Source organism: Homo sapiens, chromosome 10 (genome assembly GCF_000001405.40).
Source record: "Homo sapiens chromosome 10, GRCh38.p14 Primary Assembly".
Classification (NCBI taxonomy): Eukaryota; Metazoa; Chordata; class Mammalia; order Primates; family Hominidae; genus Homo; species Homo sapiens.
Window position 1 is genome coordinate 104,247,264 of NC_000010.11, and position 21,832 is coordinate 104,269,095.

Consider the following 21,832-nt stretch of genomic DNA (forward strand, 5'->3'; position numbering starts at 1 on the left):
TGTGATGATTAAACTCCTCTACTGCAACACCACTGTCTCAGAGAATGGCTTTATCTGTGCAGCAGGCAAGATGAACCCATTAGGTGATTACAGTAAGTTTAGAAGTAGGTGTTTTGTTGTATTCTATGACAAAAATTTGAGTTAACATAAGTGAGGATGAAGTGGTGAAAATATTTGAGTTCAGATTATACTCTCAGAGGCTACGTGGCATGGAGAAAAAAGCCCTCGACCTTAAAGTTCATGGTTCTTATTCTATCTCTGCCTTTTACTAGGTCTGTTATAACTGGAAAAGCCACTTAACCTCTCTGAATCTTAACTTCATCTGTAAAGTGGATCTGATATTTCCCTGTCTACCCTCACAGGATTGTGGTGAAGATCAGATAAAGTCATGTACATAAAAAAGGACTTTCATAGAAAATGTACGATACAGTTATGTGGTCTTGTTACATAGTTGCAAGTCATTTCCCCTTAGCTGTTGAGTCTGGGAAGAAAAGTGGTTTACAGGCACACTGAAACAATATGCCCTGTCTAGGCAGGATACATGGTAACAAGACTATGTTAGTTTTTTAAATTTTTTTTCTGAGTTCATAGAATACTATTGTGAGCTAATTCTCAGAAGGAAGGCTATAAATTTCCCTTAAATTGTTAATTAGCATTTATAACACACATTTGTGCTCTAGAGCAGTTCTGAGTTGGAACGTATTAGTGGTTGGTAAGATCTGCTTACTAAGTTGTAACCAACATGTCTTTAAAATGAACGGAACAAAAAAACTTCACAGTGCATCCCAATGGTAAGTGTAAATTCTGTTTTAGGGGTGTGTGTGTGTGTATGTATTTTTTATTGGACATTAAATAAAATACATTTTTTTCTTTAAAAATGTCAGTAAGTACTTTAGGGGGACTGTGAGGGAGACAAACTGTATTTAGTCAGCTCTAAGATCAACTGACAAGGAGGGAATAATTAAATAAATAACCAATTAAATTACAACAGAATCCTAAAATTTTTATTTAACGCTTATTGAAAGAGCTCTTTTAAGCCCAGATTTTTATGATAAAAGAACTCTTAAGCTTATTTAGAAATGATTTTTATTCTATTTTACTCTTGTGCAAGTATAAAAAGGAAAATATAAGTTATATAAAGTATTCATTCAACTTTTAGAATCCAGCTCTTTTGAATAATTTTTAAAATCAGCATCATAGGCATTCATTTCCCCAACTCATTCATCCCATAGCATTGTCCTCTGTGCCAAGAAGATCATTTAATTCCATAATGCAGCAAGAATGTTCTGTTATCTCTGGGATTTTCTTCCAAAGCCATTGACAGCTACCCTGCAAGTCCAAGCAAGAGCAATAACATCAGTGTCAAAACTGCTACACAGCCTGCTGTAATTTTAGATACACTTCCATTTTTAGAGGTATTTAAACATGAAGAAATGTGAATCTTAGAATCCATGAGATATGGTAGCAGTCTTAACTGCTACCTGATCTCTCGATCAGACTTAGGTGTCAGACTGATGGGTGAAGCCAGCTGGGCTTCTGGATCGGGTAGGGACTTGGAGTACTTTTCTGTCTAGCTAAATGGTTGTAAACACGCAAATCAGCACTCTGTGTCTAGCTAAAGGTTTGTAAACACACCAATGAGCACTCTGTAAAAATGCACCAATCAGCGCTCTGTGTCTAACTAAAGGTTTGTAAACGCACCAATCAGCACTCTGTTAAAAACGGACCAATCAGCACTCCGTAAAATGGACCAAACAGCACGACATGGGCGGGGCCAAATAAGGGAATAAAAGCTGGCCACCGGAGCCAGCAGGGGCAACAGGCTGGAGTCCCCTTCCGGGCTGTGGGAGCTTTGTTCTTTTGCTCTTCACAATAAATCTTACTGCTGCTCACTCTTTGGGTCTGCACTAGGTTTATGAGCTGTAACACTCACTGTGAGGGTCTGCAGCTTCATTCCTGAAGTCAGTGAGACCGTAAACCCCCGGGAGGAACAAACAACTCTGGACGCAGCACCTTTAAGAGCTATAAGACTCACTGCAAAGGTCTGCAGCTTCACTCCTGAAGTCAGCGAGACCATGAACCCACCAGAAGGAAGAAACTCCGGACACATCTGAACATCTGAAGGAACAAACTCTGGACACACGATCTTTAAGAACTGTAACACTCACTGCGAGGGTCCGCAGCTTCATTCTTGAAGTCAGCGAGACCAAGAACCCACCGGAAGGAATAAATTCCAGACACAAGACCAGAGTTGACAACCCATCTCCACCATAAAAAATATATTGATTTTGAGAAAATCACTTAACCTGTGCCCCCCAGTTTCCCTATCCCTGAGATGGTAATATTAACAGTATTTAAATCTTAGGATTGTTGTGAGGATTAAAGACTTTCCAGGTAGAACATTTAGGAGATAACTGGCAGGACATGTACATTCAACAGATGAGATTACCTCCTGCATGCTGTTTTACAACATTTTTATTTAACAGTGTATCTCTGGCATGTTTCTGCATCAGTATATATGAATCTACTTCATTACTTTTAACAGTTGTCTTTTAACAGTAGGTTTTTTTTTTCCTGTTCTTTAAAAAATGTTTCTTAAATCTTAATTTTTCCCAATATAGCGTATATTAAGAGTAAAAAATCAAAGTGAATAGAAAGCTTTTCAAATGACAGCAGTCGCCACCTCATTTCTCCCCACCTGATCCTTTCCCATCTCAATGCCATTCTCTAGAAGCCACCTTCCAACTGAAGAAACAGAAGGGAACCAATACCCTGGAAGCACCTCCCTACATCATGCACCCACCCTTTTCCATTCCCTTCCTTTCCCCTGGATGTAGCTACCATCCTGAATTCTGTGATTATTGTTCCCTGCTTTTCAATTCTACCATGTATGCATGAGCCATAACTAATGTGCTGTTTCACTTTGCCTGTTTTTAAAGTTAACACATGTAGAATCATACCATATATATTATTGTGACTTGCTATTCTGGCTCAATATCATGTTTTTGAGAGGGATTTAAGTTGATAACTATAGCTGTAGACTATTTGTTTTCATTGTTGGGTAGATGTCCATTATATGAATACAACACAATTTATCCATTCTTCTTTCAATGGACTTTTAATATCCCCTCAATTTTTTTTCTATTCAAGCTTCTTCTTTTTTTTTTTTTTTTTTGAGACAAAGTCTCACTCACTCTGTTGCCCAGGCTGGAGTGCAATGGCATGAACTCTTGATCTTTAACCAGCAGAATCCTCTCAGATTAGTCTCTTAGGTTATTAAGAAATGTAGTTGTAAAAACGCATGTATTGTTTCCTTTTAACTGTGGCTATGGGCAGCATGTCAACATAAAAGGAAGAGGGTGAACCAAAATTAATGCAATTAGGTAATTTGAGCCAAGGTTGAGGGTTGCAACCCAGGAGTATAGGTTCAAGTTGCTCTGAATAGATACTCTCATTAGCAGCAGTTACAAGTGGATTTCTAAAGGCAAAAAGGGGCTTCAGGAAGTGGGCTGACATAGAGTTGTCTGTCAGGAATTCTCATTGGTTTACAGAAATAACATTGATTAGTAGCTGGCTACACATTGTTAAGCTATAGACTGTGGGTTATATTTGCTGTAGCATTATTAGGTTAATTTATAGCTACTTGTGGCTATAACAAGCAGTTTCAAGAGGTGAATACATAGCTCGAAGCGGGGAGTGGGGCATGATTGCTGTCTCATTTTAATGTCTCTTTGGGCCTAATAATTTGAAATGGCTCACATTCCTCAGATGAAAGTTCTATTCTTTCCTCAGGTGTATATTCAGATGTTTACACAACCACAAAGGACTTGGAGAGGACCTATTGTAATGCACACCAGTAATATAGTACGGTAGTTCACTGGGAGAGTATATTTTCAATTTCTTTCTTTGAGGAATTAACCTTTTACTTTATTTATTGATGAGGTGGATCTTTCAAATCATTGCAATAAAATATTACATTATTCATACTAAATTAGGGGACAGGGCATTCCAAGTAAAACTTTTAAAGTAATACCTTGATGTGAAATTTTTTTTTGGCCATTCAGAAGTTTTACCTTGCCAAGTTTCAATTTACAAGGTTATTTGCATGAAGTCATTAATGTGCTAAAAAGTCAATATCCTTAAAAAGAGTTAAGCAGTGCCCATATTTTAGCAAAAATGTGGTCGATTTTTAAAAATTTATATCTATTTCTTGCCTATTTACTAAATTAAATCAAAATATGTAGTGATCACATTTATTTAACATATTCTATGCCAAGCACTGCTCTGAGTGCTTTCTGTATAGTAACTAATTTAATCCTGCCACAGACTCTATGTCAGAGACGTTTGAACCAGAGCGACTCCATCTTGAGTGAGGGCTAGGAAGATGCGGCTGGGACTTGCTGGGCCGCATTCCCAGAAAGTTAGGTATTCCTAGCCTCTAGATGTTTATGGTTAAGGGAATAGATTGATAATGTTTACTAAACAGACCCAGACTTAGGAGTGTCCAGATATCCCGATATCTTGAGAACAAAGGCATTCCTAATTTTGCTTTAAAGATAATAATATTGATTCTTGCAAAACATAGTAATTATGAAAATTAACCCTTTATCACAAAAAGAGCACATCTCCCCATATCTTTTTTTCATCCTATATATACAGGCATTGAACCTGGGGTGGACGCCTTCGTCCTCTTACTTTCGGGAACACCCTACTCTGTCTATGGAGTAGCTGTTTTTTCACCACTTTACTTTCTTAATAAACTTGCTTTTGTTTTGCACGGTGGACTCGCTCTGAATTCTTTCTTATGCGAGATCCAAGAACCCTCTCTTGGGTCTGGATCAGGACCCCTTTCCCGTAACATCTATGCAGGAGGAATAACATGTGTTCCATCTTATTTTACAGGTGAGGAAACTGAAACACACTGAGGTTAGTGACTTCCCCATGTTCACAGTTAATAAGTGGTTGTTACGGGTTGAATTGTGCTCCCCCAATTTCATACATTGATGTTCTAATCCCCAGTGCCCCAGTATGTGACCTTATTTGGAAATAGGGTTGTTGCAGATGTAACTAAATTAAAATGAGGTCATACTGGAGTGTGAATGAAGATGAAGGCACAGATGGGGTGGGTGGTGCTTCTGCACTCCAAGGGACACCAAAGATTCCCTCAAACCACTAGAAGCTGGGAGAGAGGCATGGAACAGACTCCCTCACAGACTCCCTCCTCAGAAGGCAGCAACCCTGCTGACACCTTCATCTTGGACTTGTAGCCTCTAGAACTGTGAGGCAACACACTTCTGTTATTTAAGCCACTCTGCAGTACTTTGTTACCCTAGTCCTAGCAACTGAATACAGGGGTGGAGCCAGGATCAAAACAGGCAGGGTGCTCCAACACTTGGTGCTTTTCACCTCATTCTCTGCTCCTCCCATAATAGGGCTAATCAAAATAAAAATAGACATCTACCCCAATCTCACCCCAATAAATGGCACAGGAGTTACCAGCTTTCAAATCTAGGCAAACAAGGAAATCATTGAATAGTCTTTTTCCTCATCTGTATGATGGCCCTGGAACCCCTCTTTCCTGACCCCTAAGTTAAAAGAGCTGTTTGAGAGGACTCTCTGGCCAGACCTTTATTCCCAGACCCAAAACTAAATTCACTCATGCCACCTGCTTGATTCTGAGCCTGTGCCCTTATTGTAACTGAAATGCAGGTTCAGTTGCTTCCCGCTTTCAGAGTCCAATTATTAATAAGAAGAGCAAAGTCTGGTATAAAGAAAGTGATTTTTTATTCCAAAGCTAGCTTAGGGGGAGCAAAACAGGCTTCCTGCCTTAAGGGTACCACTTTGCTTCTGGGGCAGAAAGCAGGGGCTTTTAAAGGGGGCAGTTGGTATGAACTGCATGCTGGGGAGGGAGCGAGTGGGTGGGGGTTCGCATGACTCACTTTGGTGCTTTATCTGCTGGGTTGTGCCATCATGGGCAGAAGTCATTTGTAAAGTGGCCTTGTCTCAGGCATACTTTTGGATGTAAATGGACTGTTATCTCTGGAGGCAGTCTCCTGGGGGGTGAGAGTCCTGCTCTGGAGCTTTTAAGTAAACACCCAGTTAGATAAGCTTGCCCTGTAGGGAGTGTCAGGTGAAGGGAAGGTAAAAGATGATAATTGCATTTCTAAAGAGCTAAGTAGGAAGTGGGGAACAGGGAGAAAGGAGGAAACAGAGAAGATGGGAGAAATAAATAATGTAAAAAATAACTCATCCTCTATCTCTTAGAAAAATGGGAGTACTGTTATATTACCAGGGCTCCAAAACACAAATGTTTAATAAGTGGGAGAGTTTTGAAAGCAGCACCATTATTCTGAGGTTGATAATATCCAGGTTTGTGCTGTCTCCTATGGGTTAAAATGAAAAGGATGTATCCTACAGGTGACGGTAGGGACAGAGGCCCTCCCAGTAGTCACGTTAAGCTAGTACTGACAGAAAAAGGAAAAGCCTGTCCAGGTGGCTGGGCAACCCTGCAGCGAGGCATAGATGAGCTTGTAAATCAAAGGAAATGACCAAGGTGAGTCTCAATCCTTTTAGAGGTTTATTTTGCCAAGGTTGAGGACACATCTGAGAAAAAGGAACACAAAATCACAGGAACATCTGTGATCTGTGCTCTTTCCAAAGAGGGCTTGAGGACTTCAATATTTAAAGGGAAAGAGCAGGCAGTAGGGGAAAGTGGAAAGTAAAAAGGGAAGGTAGATAAAAGGGGAGAGTAGTTGCATTCTTTGGGGCCTTTGATCAGCATTCACTGAATGCGCATGTTACATTCGTGAAAGGAGGTCGTAGAGGAATAGTCAGTTATGCATTCGTCTAGTGCTTGGTGAATCTGCATTTTTACAAGATTAAATATAGGGTAGAGGAAGCGGTCAAATTGCATTTTTCTCCAGCGAGAGGAAGGATGACTCCTAGACCTGTCTTTGTCCCATACTTGGGAAGATAAGCTGTTAGTTTACATTGCCAAGATGAAATTCAACTGATCTGTTTTAGAGTAAAGATCTTGCGGGCCAACAAGGAATTTCCTTGGGGAGGTGTGTGGCCTTTGATCTTTGTAGCTATTTAGCAACAAAATGGGAGGCAGTGTTGCCTGACTCAGTTTCCAAGCTTGACTCTTCCCTTTGGCATAGTGAGTTTGGAGTCAAGAGATTTTTATTTTCCCTTCACAAGCTGAACAGGAGCCTTTGGAGAGAACGCTCTGGACCGGTGAGTGAGCCATGAGGTCGGGCCACAGGCTCTGAAGTCGTGAAGCCTTGGGACGGAGCGGGTGGTGCTTCGAGGTCAGTGTCACGGGAGGGAGGTCAGGGTCAGGGTCAGACGTGGAGCCCCGTGGAGTGCGGAGTGGTGACCCCTTCGTTCGGGGGCGGAGGGATGACTGAGCATTTATAACTTTTGTGTATCTCCCCGTGGGTGCAGCCCTTGGCCAGCGAGATGCTTTGACACAGCCCCTTAAGATGTTTTAAGGGCTATCCCATAAAGCCGGGAAGGCACAACGGGTGGAGCTGGCGGCCGCCGGGGGCAGGCACTTTTGAGCTAAGGAGGAAGCGGGGGAGGGAAGGAGGGCGGGAAGGACGCGCCACCTACTTCCTGAATCCCCTGCAAACCCCAGAGGAGCTCGGCCTGCGCTGCGCCACGATGTCCGGGGAGTCAGCCAGGAGCTTGGGGAAGGGTGAGGCCTGCCCGCCGCGAAGAGGGGGTGATCTCGGCGACCCCCGGCGGCATGTTCGAGGCTGCTCCGGGAGCCCAGCCGCCCGGGAGCGCCCCACCGGCGGGGAACGGGTCGGAGCTGCAGTGGGACGCGGGGGCGGTGGGATACGGGGGGTCTCGACACCTCTCTGGGCCGTAATCGCCTTCGCTTCTCCCCGGCAGGAAGCGCGCCCCCGGGGCCGGTCCCGGAGGGCTCGATCCGCATCTACAGCATGAGGTTCTGCCCGTTTGCTGAGAGGACGCGTCTAGTCCTGAAGGCCAAGGGAATCAGGTGGGCACCCAGGCGGGGGACGCTCCCCGAGCCGTCCGGGAGCCTGCTGCAGGCGGCGGGGTGGGGTGGGGTCTCAGCCCCCTTCTACCCCCCTCCCACCAGCGTCCTTTACTGCACATTAAACTATTCTCGGCCCTTTGGAAAATAGCAAGTTATAGGCCATTCCCCTAGGAAAAATAGGCCACAGATTCCAACGGTCTAGGACACCTCATTTAGATTAACCAACCATTTAATGGATTAGAAAAGCTGAGGCTCCAGTGATGTTAGTGATTTGCCCGGTAATAACCGGCAGCAGCTCTTTTAGCTTTGGTAGGTCACGAATTCCTGGTCCAGAGTCCTTTCGCTTTCGCCCTATTGTGATTTCCCGTTCTTATTCCAGCTTAACTGTTAGTTGTTATTCTGAATGTATTGTTCCCTCCTAGAATAGTAATTTACCCCAGTACAGCAGAGTTTAGACCCTGACCCTCCTAGGGTAGTGCTGAGTTTACTGCACATATTCCTGTGGATTGGGCTGTTGGTTGAGTCAAATAGAGGGAAGTGTCTGTCTAGCTCATCCTTCTGCAGAGCCTGTTTTGAAACTAGCATAGTTTTTGACTTACGGGCTATCCACAGGATATGTGCAACAGTCACTTGACTTTTCTCTGACACCAAGTATCCATTGGAACCACTTCCCTTCCCATGACCTTTGGATGTCTGTTGATTAGACATTTATTAGATACCTTTGGTGTGGAAGGTTCTGTGGAAGTTTAAAACAAACCCCCTATTCTTAAGGAATTTTCTGTCTGTGTGCTTAGTGTTTGTGAACTAATTTTAGTCTTCTAAGGGGATAATCTTTAGGGGTAGGCAATTATTTTCCCTAAAAGAAAGGTAAAATGCATTTAAAAAATACATTTGAAGGGGATTTGTCATTACTTCACTAAGAAATGCATCTCATTTGGATGAGATTATGATTCTGAACACATAGAGTACTTACTATTTCATAATGTTTCTCAAAAACACTGTCATATTTGCTGTGATAGAACTCTTTTATTGTACTAAGAGAAATCTAATGTAACCAAAATTGAAAAAAGACATTTTTTGGTACTCATTTATTTGAAAAGTCCAGGAGCATGACACAGCTGGATTCAGAGGCACAAAGTCCTGGGTTATGTGCTTCACCCTGGACCTTTAGTTTGAAAACAACCCTACCTTATTTACTGGGGCAGTTTTCCAAAGGAACATTGAAACTATCTTCCCCTAATAGTGTGGGGTAGAGGGGAGGAAGAGAGTGGTTAACAGCTTCCAGACAGTGCAAACAACAAAGGTCTACTACATTAATAGACCAGTTTTAAGCTTGAGCCCGAGGAGGCTTTTACTGGGAAAGTACTAGATTTTAACCACATGATATGACTTAACAAAGCATGGTTTTCTCTAAAAGATGCATCTTCCAACTTGCTGTGGCAGGTGTGTAGACTTGTTGGCTCACAATGCCAGCTTACCAAAATTCATGTGTGTTCTGACATACTTTTTTTTTTTTAAATAACAAAAGCCCAGGATCTTTTTGTTTTCATAGTAACAAAAGTTTTTGTTTTATAGTTCAAAAATGTTGATAATTCTTTGGCAAGGAGCCAAATAATTTTTTTTTTTTTTGCAATGGCTGGTACTTAAGTGTCCAGTATTGTCAGCACATGAACCTTTTAAATTACATGCACACCTGTGCTCATGTTCAAATTGGATGTTCCTTTGTTTACATGGGGGATTATGTATTTAAATCCTCAAATGAAATGCTGTTCTAGCTACAGCTGTGGATGGGAAAATAGAAAACAAAAGGTATTGGTGTCTATTTTTTTTTTAGTAATCTGTTCTATTGAACATTTATTCAGCCTTGACAATCATATGGACCTAGCTCCTTTCTCTTAGTTCCTCTACAGTCTCAGGCAACATACAAGATAGACCTAAATACAATCTGACTATAGCCTGGACTTCACCTGTTTTCTTCCTTTTTGGTTTACTTTGTATGATTTACTCAGACAACATTTTTTAAAAAATCAGTACATGGAGATTTAATCTGAAAGCTTATTTTGTGGGTGGATTTTTTTTTTTTTTTCGAGACAGGGTCTCGCCCTGTCACCCAGGCTGGAATGCAGTGGTGCAATCATGGCTCACTGCAACCTCTGCCTCCAGGGCTCAAGCAATCTTCTCACCTCAGCATCCGGAGTAGCCGAGACTACAGGTGAGTACCACCACACTTGGCTAATTTTTATATTTTTTGTAGAGATAGGGTTTCATCATGTTGCCCAGGCTGGTCTTGAACTCCTGGGTTTAAGCAATCCGCCCACTGCAGTCTCCCAAGGTTCTGGGATTACAGATGTAAGCTACCAAGCCTGGCCTTGTGGGTGGATTTTAAGGATTCCTTAATATCTTCATAAAAACCAAGAAACTTTTTACTCAAATTAGCAAAATAAATTGAATTTTATGTTGGTTCTCATATAGTGGATAGTGGACACAATTCAATTAGTTGCCTCATATGATTTATAACTAAGATACCTCTTAGCCATAAATGGAGTATCTTATTGACAATTTTGAAGCATTTCCACAGATTTATTCATTCATTTATATGAAATATTTCAAAACAAAAATATTTACTGAGTCCTTATTTGAAACTTTTTATTTTCTTCAGAGCATTTATATCTATATAGCATTTTGCTCATTTACATGTTTGTTTATTACTATGAACAGATACACAAGATCCCACCTTTCGTGAAGCTTACATTCTAGGAAGATAACAAACTTGTAAATAAGTGAGCAAAGTAATTTCAGATACATATTATCAGTTCAATGAAGAAAGTAAAACATGATAATCATGTAATAGAAGCTGCTCAGCAACTTCAGAGCTATGGTCAGGGAGGGCCTGGGGATGTGTGTTTGACCTGGGAAGACCTGGGAAAAGGCAGGCAGAGGAGGCAGAGGACCATCAAGTGCAAAGACTCTAAGGTGGAAACACATTTGGCAAATTCAAGGAATATAAAAACCGCCAACGTGTAAAAGAAAACATAGGGGAAAAGCTTCATGACACTGGCCTTGGCAATGATTTCCTGGACATGACACCAAAGACCAGGCAACAAGACCAAAAATAAACACATGAGACTACAGCAAACAAGCTTCCACACAGCAAAGGAAACGATTAACAGAGCAAAAAGGCAACCTATGGAATAGGAGAAAGTACTTGCAAACCACATACCTGGTAAGGGGTTAATCTCCAAAATACATAAGGAATCTCTACAACTCAACAACAAAAAAACCTGATTTTAACATGGGCTAAGATCTTACATAGACACTTCTCAGGCTGGGCATGGTAGCTCACGCCTATAACCCCGAGGCAGACAGTTCACTTGAGCCCAGGAGTTCAAGACCAGCCTTGGCAACATGGCAGAATCCTGTCTCTACAAAGAAATTAGCTGGGTGTGATGGTGCACGCCTGTGGTCCCAACTACTCGGGAGGTAGGAGGATCGCTTTAGCCCAGGAGGTCGAGGCTGCAGTGAGCTGCGATCAAGCCACTGTACTCCAGTCTGGGAGACAGAGTGTCAAAAAAAATTAAAAATTAAAAAAATAGACATTTCTTCAAAGAGGATATAAAAATGGGCAACACATATATGAAAAAGTTCTTATCACTAATCATCAGGAAAATGCAAATCAAAATCACATAATAACCTCACACTTGTCAAGATGACTATAATGAAAAAAGACAAGTGTTAGCAAGGATGTGTAGAAATCAGAACCTTTGCACACTGTTGGCGGGAATGTAAAATGGTACAGCTGCTATGGAAAACAGTATAGATGTTCTTCAAAAAATTAAAACTAGAACTACCATGTGATTCAGCAATCTCACTACTGGGTATATATCCAAATTAAATGAAATCAAGTTCTCAAAGAGATATTAGCACTCTCACGTAGACTGCAGCACTGTTCACAACAGCATAATGTCAATGTCCATCAGCAGATGAATGGATAAAGAAAATGTGTTAATGCTATTCCACCTAAAAAGGAAGGAAATTCTGCAATATGTGACAACATGGATGGACATTGCGGACATTATGCTAAGTAAAATAAGCCAGACACAGAAAGACAAATACTGCATGATTGTTCTTAAAAGGTGTATCAAAAGTAGTCAGATTCATAAAATCAAAAACTAGAATGGAAGGAATCTAGGCAGACTCCTAAATTTGGGGTCTGATCAGCTAAGTGGATGGCAAAGCCAGTGAGAATTTATCCAAAAGCACAAAAGTTGTTTCCTTCTCTTCATAGTCTCCTATGTGTCTTTCAGGCATGAAGTCATCAATATCAACCTGAAAAATAAGCCTGAGTGGTTCTTTAAGAAAAATCCCTTTGGTCTGGTGCCAGTTCTGGAAAACAGTCAGGGTCAGCTGATCTACGAGTCTGCCATCACCTGTGAGTACCTGGATGAAGCATACCCAGGGAAGAAGCTGTTGCCGGATGACCCCTATGAGAAAGCTTGCCAGAAGATGATCTTAGAGTTGTTTTCTAAGGTTTGTGCATAAGAAATTTCAGCTCCTATTTGAAAAACCTGTTTTTTAAAGCGAAATCAGTGCTGCCATTTATGGTTCAGTGATTTGGGAGAGAAAAACAAAACAGGAATATGCTTGTCAGCTCTGAGTGTCCTGCAAGTCCTTTCACGATCCAGTTCCTGTTTACCTCCAAAATTATCCCTTTTCACTCGTCTCCTGACACTTTATATATGCCAGCCATACTAAACTTTTCTCAGAATTCCCAAATTCGCCCCTTTCTCTTTCAATTCTTGCTGTCAGATTCTTCCCACTTCTCACTGTGCCTGGTTATCTCCACGTCATTTTTCACATGTCTGCTCCGACACTGCTGCCTTTTCAGGAGCTTGGCAGGCTGGTTAGTGCTCTAGCTTCTGAGTTCCCATCCGTGTGAACTTTTGCCTGCCTTCTTGCCTGTGTACTGCACTGGGGCTGTGAGCTCCTTGAGGGTGAGGGCTGTGTTTTGATCACTGTTAGTTCACTGCCTAGTTTTATGACTGGCTCTGCTACTTTCTTGTGACTCTGAGCAAGTTACTTATTACTTTGCCTCTCCGTTCATCATTGGTAAAATGGATATAGTAATTGTTCCCACCTCATAAGATAAAAATCAGTTAATATAAAACACCCAGAACAGAGTCTGACACATGGGAACTACTTAATTCTTGTCCTTATAGCCATAGCATCAAGCAGTGAGCATCTACTTTGTGTTGGCAATAACTCAGATGACTGAATAAATAGCAATCCTGTAGAAGAACTGTTTGTACCTTACTTAGCATCAACACTGTGGATTAGTTCAAACAATTAGTATTAACAAAGAAATGACTAAAAGATGTGTGTTTAGACACCAAGAATAGCATGTCTGGTTATATGCCTATAACATTGTCACCTTGGTAGTACGGTCAGTATATAAAGGATTATCTTTAGAGAAAAAGATGGTTAAAGAAATGCCCTAAGAGAGAGTTATAGGGAAAACATTCTGTTTTAGGAGACATTATAAAGGGAAGCCAATGGGACAGGAAGAGTGAGTCATCTGCTTAGTAAGATGAGGGTGAAAGAATAGTAGAGGCGGCTGCTGTGAAAGATAATGTAAAGGGAACATGACATTTTCAAGAACGATGTGGGAGAGTTTTACAAAGTAGTAACAAGTTAAAGGCATGCAGCTTCAAGACACGAAGTCATCAATACCAACCAAAAAAAATAAGCCTAAGTGGTTCTTAAAGAAAAATCTCTTTGGTCTGGTGCCAGTTCTGGAAAACTTTTTTTAGTATGGCTGGAATATAAAGTGTCAGGAGAAGAGATAAAAGGGGTAACTTTGGAGAGGTAAACAGGAACTGGATCGTGAAAGGACTTGTAGGACACGTCAGAGAAAATGAGCTTTAAAAGTAAAGCTTTTAGACATGAAGCTTTACTTTCATGCATAAAGCTACTACTTTAAAAAGTAGTCACAAGAGATTCATTGTACTATCTAGAAAGAAAATGAGATTTAAAAGTAATGCTGAAGATGCCCACCTTTACTTCCCTGCTTGGGTTTTAAAGGAGAGGTGGCTTTATGTACATATGACCCTGCTCTCCTGGCCACAGCCCATCAGAACAGAAATGTACCCCACCCCACACACCTGGGCCAGTTATCTTCTCTCCTGGGAACTTGGAAATGAGACACAGAACTAAGACAGTAAAGGTTAGGACAGTAAAGACAACTAAGCGTTGGGGCTCAAATAATGTTAATTAGAGGCTAGAAAAACCAAAGCCACTTAAGAAATAAATTTTTAGAGGAGCAAGAATTAAAAACATTGCAAAGGGACTGAAGTATGCAAAGTAATATGGAGCAGAAATGTGAGGAAAAACAGACGAAAGACCAGGCAGACCCAGGTGGAAATGTGGATGAAAGGGCTGCCTGAAAGCCTTCAGTCCCAGTGAAGGCAGGCTGAACTGATGTGGATGGGATTTCATGGGATTCTATATTTTTACAAGTGCCTGTTTACTTAAACTAGGATGAGTGGACTTCTGCGTCTTGCAATAAAATGATACCAAAGACCAAAGTATTAAAACACATAAACACCATCACGAGCATTAAAGCATCTGATGCTACACCCATCAAGTCTTTAGGTAGTCGGTCCCTTTTGAACAGTCTCCTGGTGTCCTCCCCAACAAAGAAATCAGAAAAATTTTCTTCCCTAGCTCTTTGCAGTTGGGGCCAAGTTTTGTGACCTAGGCTCTTCCTGTCAGACACACACATAGAGTTCAAATCAGAAACGAGCAAGGTAAGGAAACAGGCTTGGTGGGATATCTGCTTAAGATATTCAGCTCTCCACTGGTTTTCCTGGTGAGAGCAGCGGCAGAGCTTCTGGGTTTCAGCAGTGTGGGTTACAAGATAAAATTCCAGAGTAGAAATGGCATCAGTGCCAGTGGTGTTAGCAGTTATCTCAGACTCTACTTTCTGGCAGCCTCACAAACTGAAGCATCTGGTGCTCAGCTTGGACTGGCAGCAGTGAGTGCTTCCCATTAGGCCATTTCTCAGCATGAATTTGGGATGTTCTGTCTTAATTCCAAGCCTGTTTGTTCCGCCTCCCAATAATTCTATGAGCCACTCAGTCTCCTTTAAAGAAAGTTGTGTTGGCCGGGCGTGGTGGCTCAAGCCTGTAATCCCAGCACTTTGGGAGGCTGAGGCAGATGGATCACCTGAGGTCAGGAGTTTTCAGACCAGCCTGGCCAATATGGTGAATCCCCATCTCTACTAAAAATACAAAAATTAGCCTGGCGTGGTGGCGCACGCCCATAATCTCAGCTACTAAGGAGGCGGAGACAGGAGAATTGCTTGAGCCCGGGCAGTGGAGGTTGCAGTGAGCTGAGATCGTGCCACTGCATTCCAGCCTGGGTGATAGAGCATGACTCCATTTCAAAAAAGAAAGAAAGTTGTTTCTTAAACGTGCCAGGGTAGCTTCTGTTATTTGTAATTTATAAAATCCTGACCAAGCCAGCATTTTAGGCCACAAAACTGTTCCTAAGACCAGTCCATTACCTCTGTGAGCGCAGGAACTTGATGCACCCTTGGTGTTTCTAGAACACCTTGACACCAGGACTGTAAGGGTTCTACCATATTTTTATGTGAGGGGGCCGATACAGTTAGCCATAAACTGATAAACTAAGAAATTATTCTCTGTCTAGGTGCCATCCTTGGTAGGAAGCTTTATTAGAAGCCAAAATAAAGAAGACTATGCTGGCCTAAAAGAAGAATTTCGTAAAGAATTTACCAAGCTAGAGGAGGTAATTATTTCTCCTAGCTATCATCAGAGTAAACGATAACTATATCTACCCTCCTTTTCCTCCTATTCTTTTCTTTATATTCCCACTTTCCAAGTCACTTTAAGGTAATTAGGAAAATTCCCCTAAACATTTTTGTTTACAGCAGACTGCTGTTATAAAGCAGAAAGCTGTCCTGCTTAAGATATAAATCAAAACACCTAAACAGACTTTGTCATGGGCTTGCTTTTAAAATATTCTGCTAATGTTAAAATAACAAGGAAAAAGGAAATTGTACCCACGTTTCCACAAGTTTTTATGTATCCAGTTTTCCATGCTTGTTTGCAGTCCTTGTCCATATATTTAAAAAAAATTAATATAGCTCTAATCAGAGCATAGATATCATTCTGTGTCCTGCTTTTTTTCCTGTGTCCACTTAGTATTACATACTAAATATTTCCCACCAGAAAAAGTTTGCAATGAACAGTACAGACACTTGAGGGAAGCCCAGATGTATTTTACCTTCTTTTGGGGACAGCTGACATTTGGGCCTTGGAGTCTGTCTCTTGGCCTTGAAATATTTCATTCATGCTAAGCCTGAAGTTTTTACTGACAGAAGACATAGTTCCTGTCTTTCATGGGAATGCATTTTAACATTTTATCAGTAAGCATGATGTTTGCTGTAGGTTTTTCAGAAACCTTTTTTTCATTATAAAGTTCTCTTCTATTACTAGTTTGCTAATTTTTAAAAAAGTCATAAATGTTGAATTTTATTGAATGGTTTTTCTGCATCTGTTACATCTATTGAAATGTTCATAGAATTTTTTCCTCTTAATCTGGTGAATATGGTGCTATTGACAAATTTTTTTTTTTTTAATGTTTAACCATCCTAGCATTCCTAAGATAAAACCTACTTGTTCTCTATGGATTTTTATATGTACTGTAGAATTAGCTAATGAATGATTTTTGTATGTGTGTTCATAAATGAGATTGGCCTATAAATTTTCTACTCTTATAGTATCATTATTGGCTTTTGGTTTCAAGGATATTCTGACCTCATAAAATGAGTTGGGTAACTAACCTGTTTTTCTAATCTCTGAAACCATTTGGTAGGGACTAGCGGTTTCTTTAAAACATTTGAGCCTGGTGTCTTTAACAGGGGTAGATTTTTCATTACTAGTTTGATTTCTTTAATGGTAATTGGTTTTTTGGTTTTATATTTCTTCTTGAATCAGTGTTGGTACTTTTATATTTTTCTGCTGAACAGTGTGGGAGCTGGAAAGTAAGATGCAGTCCATATTCTTCAGATAATTAGTTTAGTAGTAGACAGAACACAGTAGGTAGATATAAGCAATCTAAAATGCATATTATGCATTGAAAAAAAACTATGGAGGTTATTTATAAAGGGCAAATTAGTTTGGTGGTTTAAATAGCCAGATAATATTCTCAATCACCCCCTTTGGCAAACCCTGTAACCAATTCGCCTTCTTAAAATTTCAGAAACATACAATTTGTGTTTTGTTTTCAAATGATTGTCATCTGTTTAGCAGTTAATCCAGTCTATTTCCAGTATATTTTAAGTACAAATGCTTTTGCACTTACAATGGGGTTACATCCAATAAACCCACCGTAAGCTGAAAATATCATAAGTGGAAAATGCATTTAATAAACCCAACCTACAGAGCATCATAGCTTAGCCTAGCCTGCTTTAAATGTGCTCAGAAAACTTCCATTAGCCTGCAATTAGGCAAAATCATCAAACATAAAACCATCAAACATAAAATATTTATAAAGTGTTGAATATCTCATATAATTTATCGAATACCTGCATCCAAAAGATGCTGGCAACACAGCACACTTTAGAGCATTGGTTGTTTACTCTCTTGATGGTATGGCTGCCCAGCATCAAGAGTTATCATACTGCAAATCGATAGCCCAGGAAAAGAGCAAAATTCAAAGTTCAAAGTAGAGTTTTTACTGAATGCTTGCTTTTGCACCGTCGTAAAGTTGAAAAGAATTTAAATTGAACCATCATAAGCTGCAGACTGTGCATTTTATATTGAAAAGTTAATATTTTTAATTTTTAATGCAGAGAAGTACCCAAAGCATAAAAACACAACACGTTTTCACAAAGCGAACACAGCCATGGAACCAGCACCCATATCAACTAACAAAATACTAGTTTGGGCTTTTTTGTACTTTATACAAATGGACTCATATAATGTTCATCTTTTGGGTCTGCCTGCTTTCATTCAATATTAGGTTTGTGGGTTCATCTCTGCTGTGTGTAGTTCTTTCCTGTTCTTTATACAGTGTTCCAAAGTATAGTATATTACACTTTACCCATTCTACTCTTGATAGTAAACGTTTTCACATTTGGGCTATTACAAATAGTGCTGCAGTGAACATTCACATAACATATCTTTTGGTGAACATGTGTTACATTGCCAAGTACAATTGCTGGGTGATGAGTATGCATACTCTTAAAACATGGTTGTACCAATTTACACCTCTACGACAGTGGTTCCATACCCTTGCCAACTTCATTTTGTTCATTGTAGGCATTCTCTTGGGTGTATAGTGTTATTGCATTTTGGTTTTAATTTGCATTTCCCTAATGACTAATGCAGTTGAACACCTTTCCAAATGATAATTGGCCATTTGGACATCATCTTTCTTGAAGATCAAGTCTTGCTCATTTTTCCAATGGGTCGTTTGCTATTTTTCTTACTGATTCCCAGGAATCCTTTCTATATTCTGAATACCAGTCCTTTGTATTACAAATATGTTGTACTCTGTGACTTGTTTTATTTTTCAATTTTCCAGTTTATGTTGTTGATTGTTTTACTTCATCCCAGACCAACAGATTCTAAAGCTTAATTAAGCTTTTTGATCAGAAAAAAACCCAACTTGGATACATCGGAGTAAAAACTGCTTCTCTCACCTGCTCTACTTATTTCCCTTCAGCATTTCTAGTGAGTCTTACTACATGCACAAGTAAGAAATACTTTTATGCTGTTTAATGTTCAGGTTCTGACTAATAAGAAGACGACCTTCTTTGGTGGCAATTCTATCTCTATGATTGATTACCTCATCTGGCCCTGGTTTGAACGGCTGGAAGCAATGAAGTTAAATGAGTAAGATATTTGAATATTTTGTGCATAATTTAGGATGACAGGTGGAATAGTATATATTGACCTTTCTTTATAACAGAAGTTGAAATATTTAATACAACTGGTCTGAATGAGAACAAGCAGACAGGGGAATCTTGGACTATCCCAGGCATGTCATATACCTACACTAACTACTCTCCATCACTGCAATGGGGCAGGGGATTTCTGAGACATGTAGTAAAGTGCTTTAAAATTTATTCCTTCCTTCCTGATTAAAAACCCATAAGGGGAAGGATATGGTAGCTTACGCCTGTAAGCCCAGCACTTCGGGAGGCCGAGACGGGTGGATCATCTGAGGTCAGGAGTTAGAGACCAGCCTGGCCAATGTGGTGAAACCCCATCTCTACTAAAAATACAAAAATTAGCTGGGCATGGTGGTACACACCTGTAATCTCAGCTACTCGGGAGGCTGAGGCAGGAGAATCACTTGAACCCGGGAGGCAGTTGCAGTGAGCTGAGATCATGTCACTGAACTCCAGCCTGGGCAAGAGCAAGACACTTCATCAAAAAAAAAAAAAAAATTCCATAAGGTTGTAAATTTTTGTAAGGATGTTGTTGCGGGATTGTACGACCAGTGTTACCTCCCATTTACCGTAAGATTTCCACATTATTTTCCAAATTCTGTTTTGAGTTTGGCAGCCACCTTGCCTTACTCCGGCTTCTTGGACGATAGAGCTATTCAGGGTTACTTTTGGTCATAATCTGGGTGTAGAATAATTAACATAGAACATTCCTGATTGTATTCCCTGTTCTTATTTTAATAAATTGTCAGTTTCTCTCTTTGGGCAAGTTCTCACATTAACTGAACAAATTGCTTCACTCTAGTCTCATTCCTTTTGTGTAAAAAAGGGACCTCTATAGTGTCTTTCAAATTGAATATTCTATTACAGGCATTTTTAAATATTTTTAATGAAATATTTAAGGGAAAAAAGTGAAACTGTAGAGTAATAATTACATATGGGAGACTCTGTGATGTCATCCTAGTTGACCTAGCTCACACCTTTCATTTTTTCCTCTTCCCACAGGTGTGTAGACCACACTCCAAAACTGAAACTGTGGATGGCAGCCATGAAGGAAGATCCCACAGTCTCAGCCCTGCTTACTAGTGAGAAAGACTGGCAAGGTTTCCTAGAGCTCTACTTACAGAACAGCCCTGAGGCCTGTGACTATGGGCTCTGAAGGGGGCAGGAGTCAGCAATAAAGCTATGTCTGATATTTTCCTTCACTAATATGAATAATAGCATGCTTTTATTTTACCAAGGTTCAGGTTGCATGGGATCATCTTCTCTGACTGATTTGACATCAACAGCCAAACGGTGGGGGTCTCCTTAACGCCCCCCTACAGAAATGAAAATGCATTTCCTGTCTCAGGATGCTGAAACGACTCTGAGGGTTCTATCATAGTCCATGCTGAAAACCCCCAAATTATCATCTTTAGCAAAATCTGGACTTGAATCTTTTTTTTTTTTTTGAGACGGAGTTTCACTCTTGTTGACCAGGCTGGAGTGCAATGGCCTGATCTCAGCTCACCGCAACCTCCGCCTCCTGAGTTCAAGCGATTCTCCTGCCTCAGCCTCCTGAGTAGCTGGGATTACAGGCATGCGTCACCACGCCTGGCTAATTTTTTTGTATTATCAGTAGAGAAGGGGTTTCTCCATGTTGGTCAGGCTGGTCTCCAACTCCCGACCTCAGGTGATCGGCGCGCCTCGGCCTCCCAAAGTGGCATGAGCCACCGTACCCGTCCACAATCTAACTTTATAACTGCTCACAGGAAATACCCACTCAGTTACCCTGTTGTGTGATTTCATGAGATGCTCTCTTGTTGCTTGTCTTCTGGTTTCTTAGTTGAGAAGCTTTCAATTCCTCCTTCTTTCATTTCCATCATCAACTTAATTTCACATTCTCTCTATTGTTGGCCCTGAAGACCAGACGCACATTACCCGAAAGCTGGGTGGCTGGGCAGACTCCTATTTGGTCTCCCTGTCTCTAACCCCTTCAAATCCTTCCTATCAAATCCCATGTTGGGCACATAGGTGGTGTCCCATTTATGTAATTAAATACTGTGTAGGCTGCATCAGTCAATTCTGCCTACAAGGTTGATGAGTAATAGGTAAGAGCCCCACTGAGAAATAGAAATGCCATCTTCCACACATTTCCATAGCCCACTGGGTTGCTCACTATTCAATTTTTATTATCACATCACCACCACGAGAAGGTAGGTCGGAGAGCAATCATTTCATTCTATAGATGATGCAACTAAGGTCCCGAGGTTAAGTGAGGCCTTAAGGTGCTGGCAGAAAGATCACACCCAGCGCACTGCTCTTACCATTGGAATCAGGGCTGTCGGTCCGCTCCAATTGTCTGGTTTCCTGAACTTATTTTCAAGTTCGCCATTGAGAGAAACCTCCGAATGACTAATTCTTAAATTTAAGGGTGCATAATAATCACCTATGGCTCACCGCTGCATTTCCGATTCAGCAGGCTGGGGTGGGTAGCGAAGTCTGTATTTCAAATGAGCCCCTCAACCCAGGTGACGCAGGCGGTGTGGGGACCGCATCCGGAGGGCGACCTGGAGCCGACTGACTTCACAAAGGCCTCCTGCCGCAAACCTTCAGCGGCCACCAAAGCCCCGGCTGCCGGCGGCGGACCACCTCTGCTGCCGCGCGCCTACCGGAGCCGCTTGGCCCTAGTGCTTTCCAGCGGATTTCCCCTCAGGTGCGGAGCCGGGTGCCGGGGTCCCACAGCCAACCACTACCGGTTCCTCTTTCGTCAGCCACCGGCGCCGGCAGGACCCGCGAATCCCGATCTCCAGGAGCCTGTAAGGAGGCCGCCCATTGGCTCAGCCGCACTGCTGGGCAGGTACTTCCAA

The 21,832-nt window shown here is 41.2% G+C and overlaps 1 protein-coding gene, 1 long non-coding RNA gene and 1 other non-coding gene across 5 annotated transcripts, besides 8 other annotated features; 1 reads left to right on the forward strand and 2 right to left on the reverse strand.

Annotated features, from left to right (window-relative positions):
- Positions 1-1,069: 1,069 nt before the first annotated feature.
- LOC124902497 (uncharacterized) lies at positions 1,070-21,654 on the reverse strand. The gene is made up of 2 exons (XR_007062284.1): positions 21,290-21,654; positions 1,070-1,329 (listed from the first exon to the last, which is right to left on the reverse strand). It is a non-coding gene; the product is annotated as an uncharacterized LOC124902497 (long non-coding RNA).
- Positions 6,797-7,311: an enhancer, noted in NCBI's record as "OCT4-NANOG-H3K27ac-H3K4me1 hESC enhancer chr10:106013818-106014332 (GRCh37/hg19 assembly coordinates)". NCBI's record gives its function as "activates a minimal SCP1, AML or CMV promoter by ChIP-STARR-seq in primed H9 embryonic stem cells {active_cell/tissue: H9 hESC(primed)}" and the evidence as "EXISTENCE:reporter gene assay evidence [ECO:0000049][PMID:30033119]".
- Positions 6,910-20,192, forward strand: GSTO1 (glutathione S-transferase omega 1). Of its 3 annotated transcripts, none has more exons than NM_001191003.2 (6): positions 6,910-7,236; positions 7,900-8,008; positions 12,313-12,535; positions 15,716-15,814; positions 18,821-18,927; positions 19,989-20,192. In NM_001191003.2, the coding sequence occupies exons 2-6, from the start codon at positions 7,950-7,952 to the stop codon at positions 20,140-20,142; spliced, it is 642 nt and encodes a 213-aa protein (NP_001177932.1). In that variant the 5' UTR covers positions 6,910-7,236; positions 7,900-7,949; the 3' UTR covers positions 20,143-20,192. The 3 variants fall into 3 exon arrangements, with proteins under 3 accessions (NP_001177932.1, NP_004823.1, NP_001177931.1); NM_004832.3 differs by lacking the exon at positions 6,910-7,236 and adding an exon at positions 7,629-7,699; NM_001191002.2 differs by lacking the exons at positions 6,910-7,236; positions 15,716-15,814 and adding an exon at positions 7,629-7,699.
- Positions 7,646-7,705: an enhancer, noted in NCBI's record as "active region_3979". NCBI's record gives its function as "activates an Ori minimal core promoter by ATAC-STARR-seq in GM12878 lymphoblastoid cells {active_cell/tissue: GM12878}" and the evidence as "EXISTENCE:reporter gene assay evidence [ECO:0000049][PMID:35858748]".
- Positions 7,776-8,035: a silencer, noted in NCBI's record as "silent region_2796". NCBI's record gives its function as "represses an Ori minimal core promoter by ATAC-STARR-seq in GM12878 lymphoblastoid cells {active_cell/tissue: GM12878}" and the evidence as "EXISTENCE:reporter gene assay evidence [ECO:0000049][PMID:35858748]".
- Positions 8,526-8,575: a silencer, noted in NCBI's record as "silent region_2797". NCBI's record gives its function as "represses an Ori minimal core promoter by ATAC-STARR-seq in GM12878 lymphoblastoid cells {active_cell/tissue: GM12878}" and the evidence as "EXISTENCE:reporter gene assay evidence [ECO:0000049][PMID:35858748]".
- Positions 20,341-20,440: an enhancer, noted in NCBI's record as "active region_3980". NCBI's record gives its function as "activates an Ori minimal core promoter by ATAC-STARR-seq in GM12878 lymphoblastoid cells {active_cell/tissue: GM12878}" and the evidence as "EXISTENCE:reporter gene assay evidence [ECO:0000049][PMID:35858748]".
- MIR4482 (microRNA 4482) lies at positions 21,073-21,142 on the reverse strand. Its single transcript, NR_039702.1, has one exon. It is a non-coding gene; the product is annotated as a microRNA 4482 (primary transcript).
- Positions 21,171-21,230: an enhancer, noted in NCBI's record as "active region_3981". NCBI's record gives its function as "activates an Ori minimal core promoter by ATAC-STARR-seq in GM12878 lymphoblastoid cells {active_cell/tissue: GM12878}" and the evidence as "EXISTENCE:reporter gene assay evidence [ECO:0000049][PMID:35858748]".
- Positions 21,241-21,410: an enhancer, noted in NCBI's record as "active region_3982". NCBI's record gives its function as "activates an Ori minimal core promoter by ATAC-STARR-seq in GM12878 lymphoblastoid cells {active_cell/tissue: GM12878}" and the evidence as "EXISTENCE:reporter gene assay evidence [ECO:0000049][PMID:35858748]".
- Positions 21,461-21,800: an enhancer, noted in NCBI's record as "active region_3983". NCBI's record gives its function as "activates an Ori minimal core promoter by ATAC-STARR-seq in GM12878 lymphoblastoid cells {active_cell/tissue: GM12878}" and the evidence as "EXISTENCE:reporter gene assay evidence [ECO:0000049][PMID:35858748]".

Excerpts from the sequence above, each read along its gene's own strand:
- GSTO1 (NM_004832.3), top strand. The coding sequence starts at position 7,666 with ATGTCCGGGGAGTCAGCCAGGAGCTTGGGGAAGG. Across the intron at positions 15,815-18,820 it reads AATTTACCAAGCTAGAGGAG|GTTCTGACTAATAAGAAGAC; the intron begins GTAATTATTTCT and ends TTTAATGTTCAG. Across the intron at positions 18,928-19,988 it reads GAAGCAATGAAGTTAAATGA|GTGTGTAGACCACACTCCAA; the intron begins GTAAGATATTTG and ends CTCTTCCCACAG.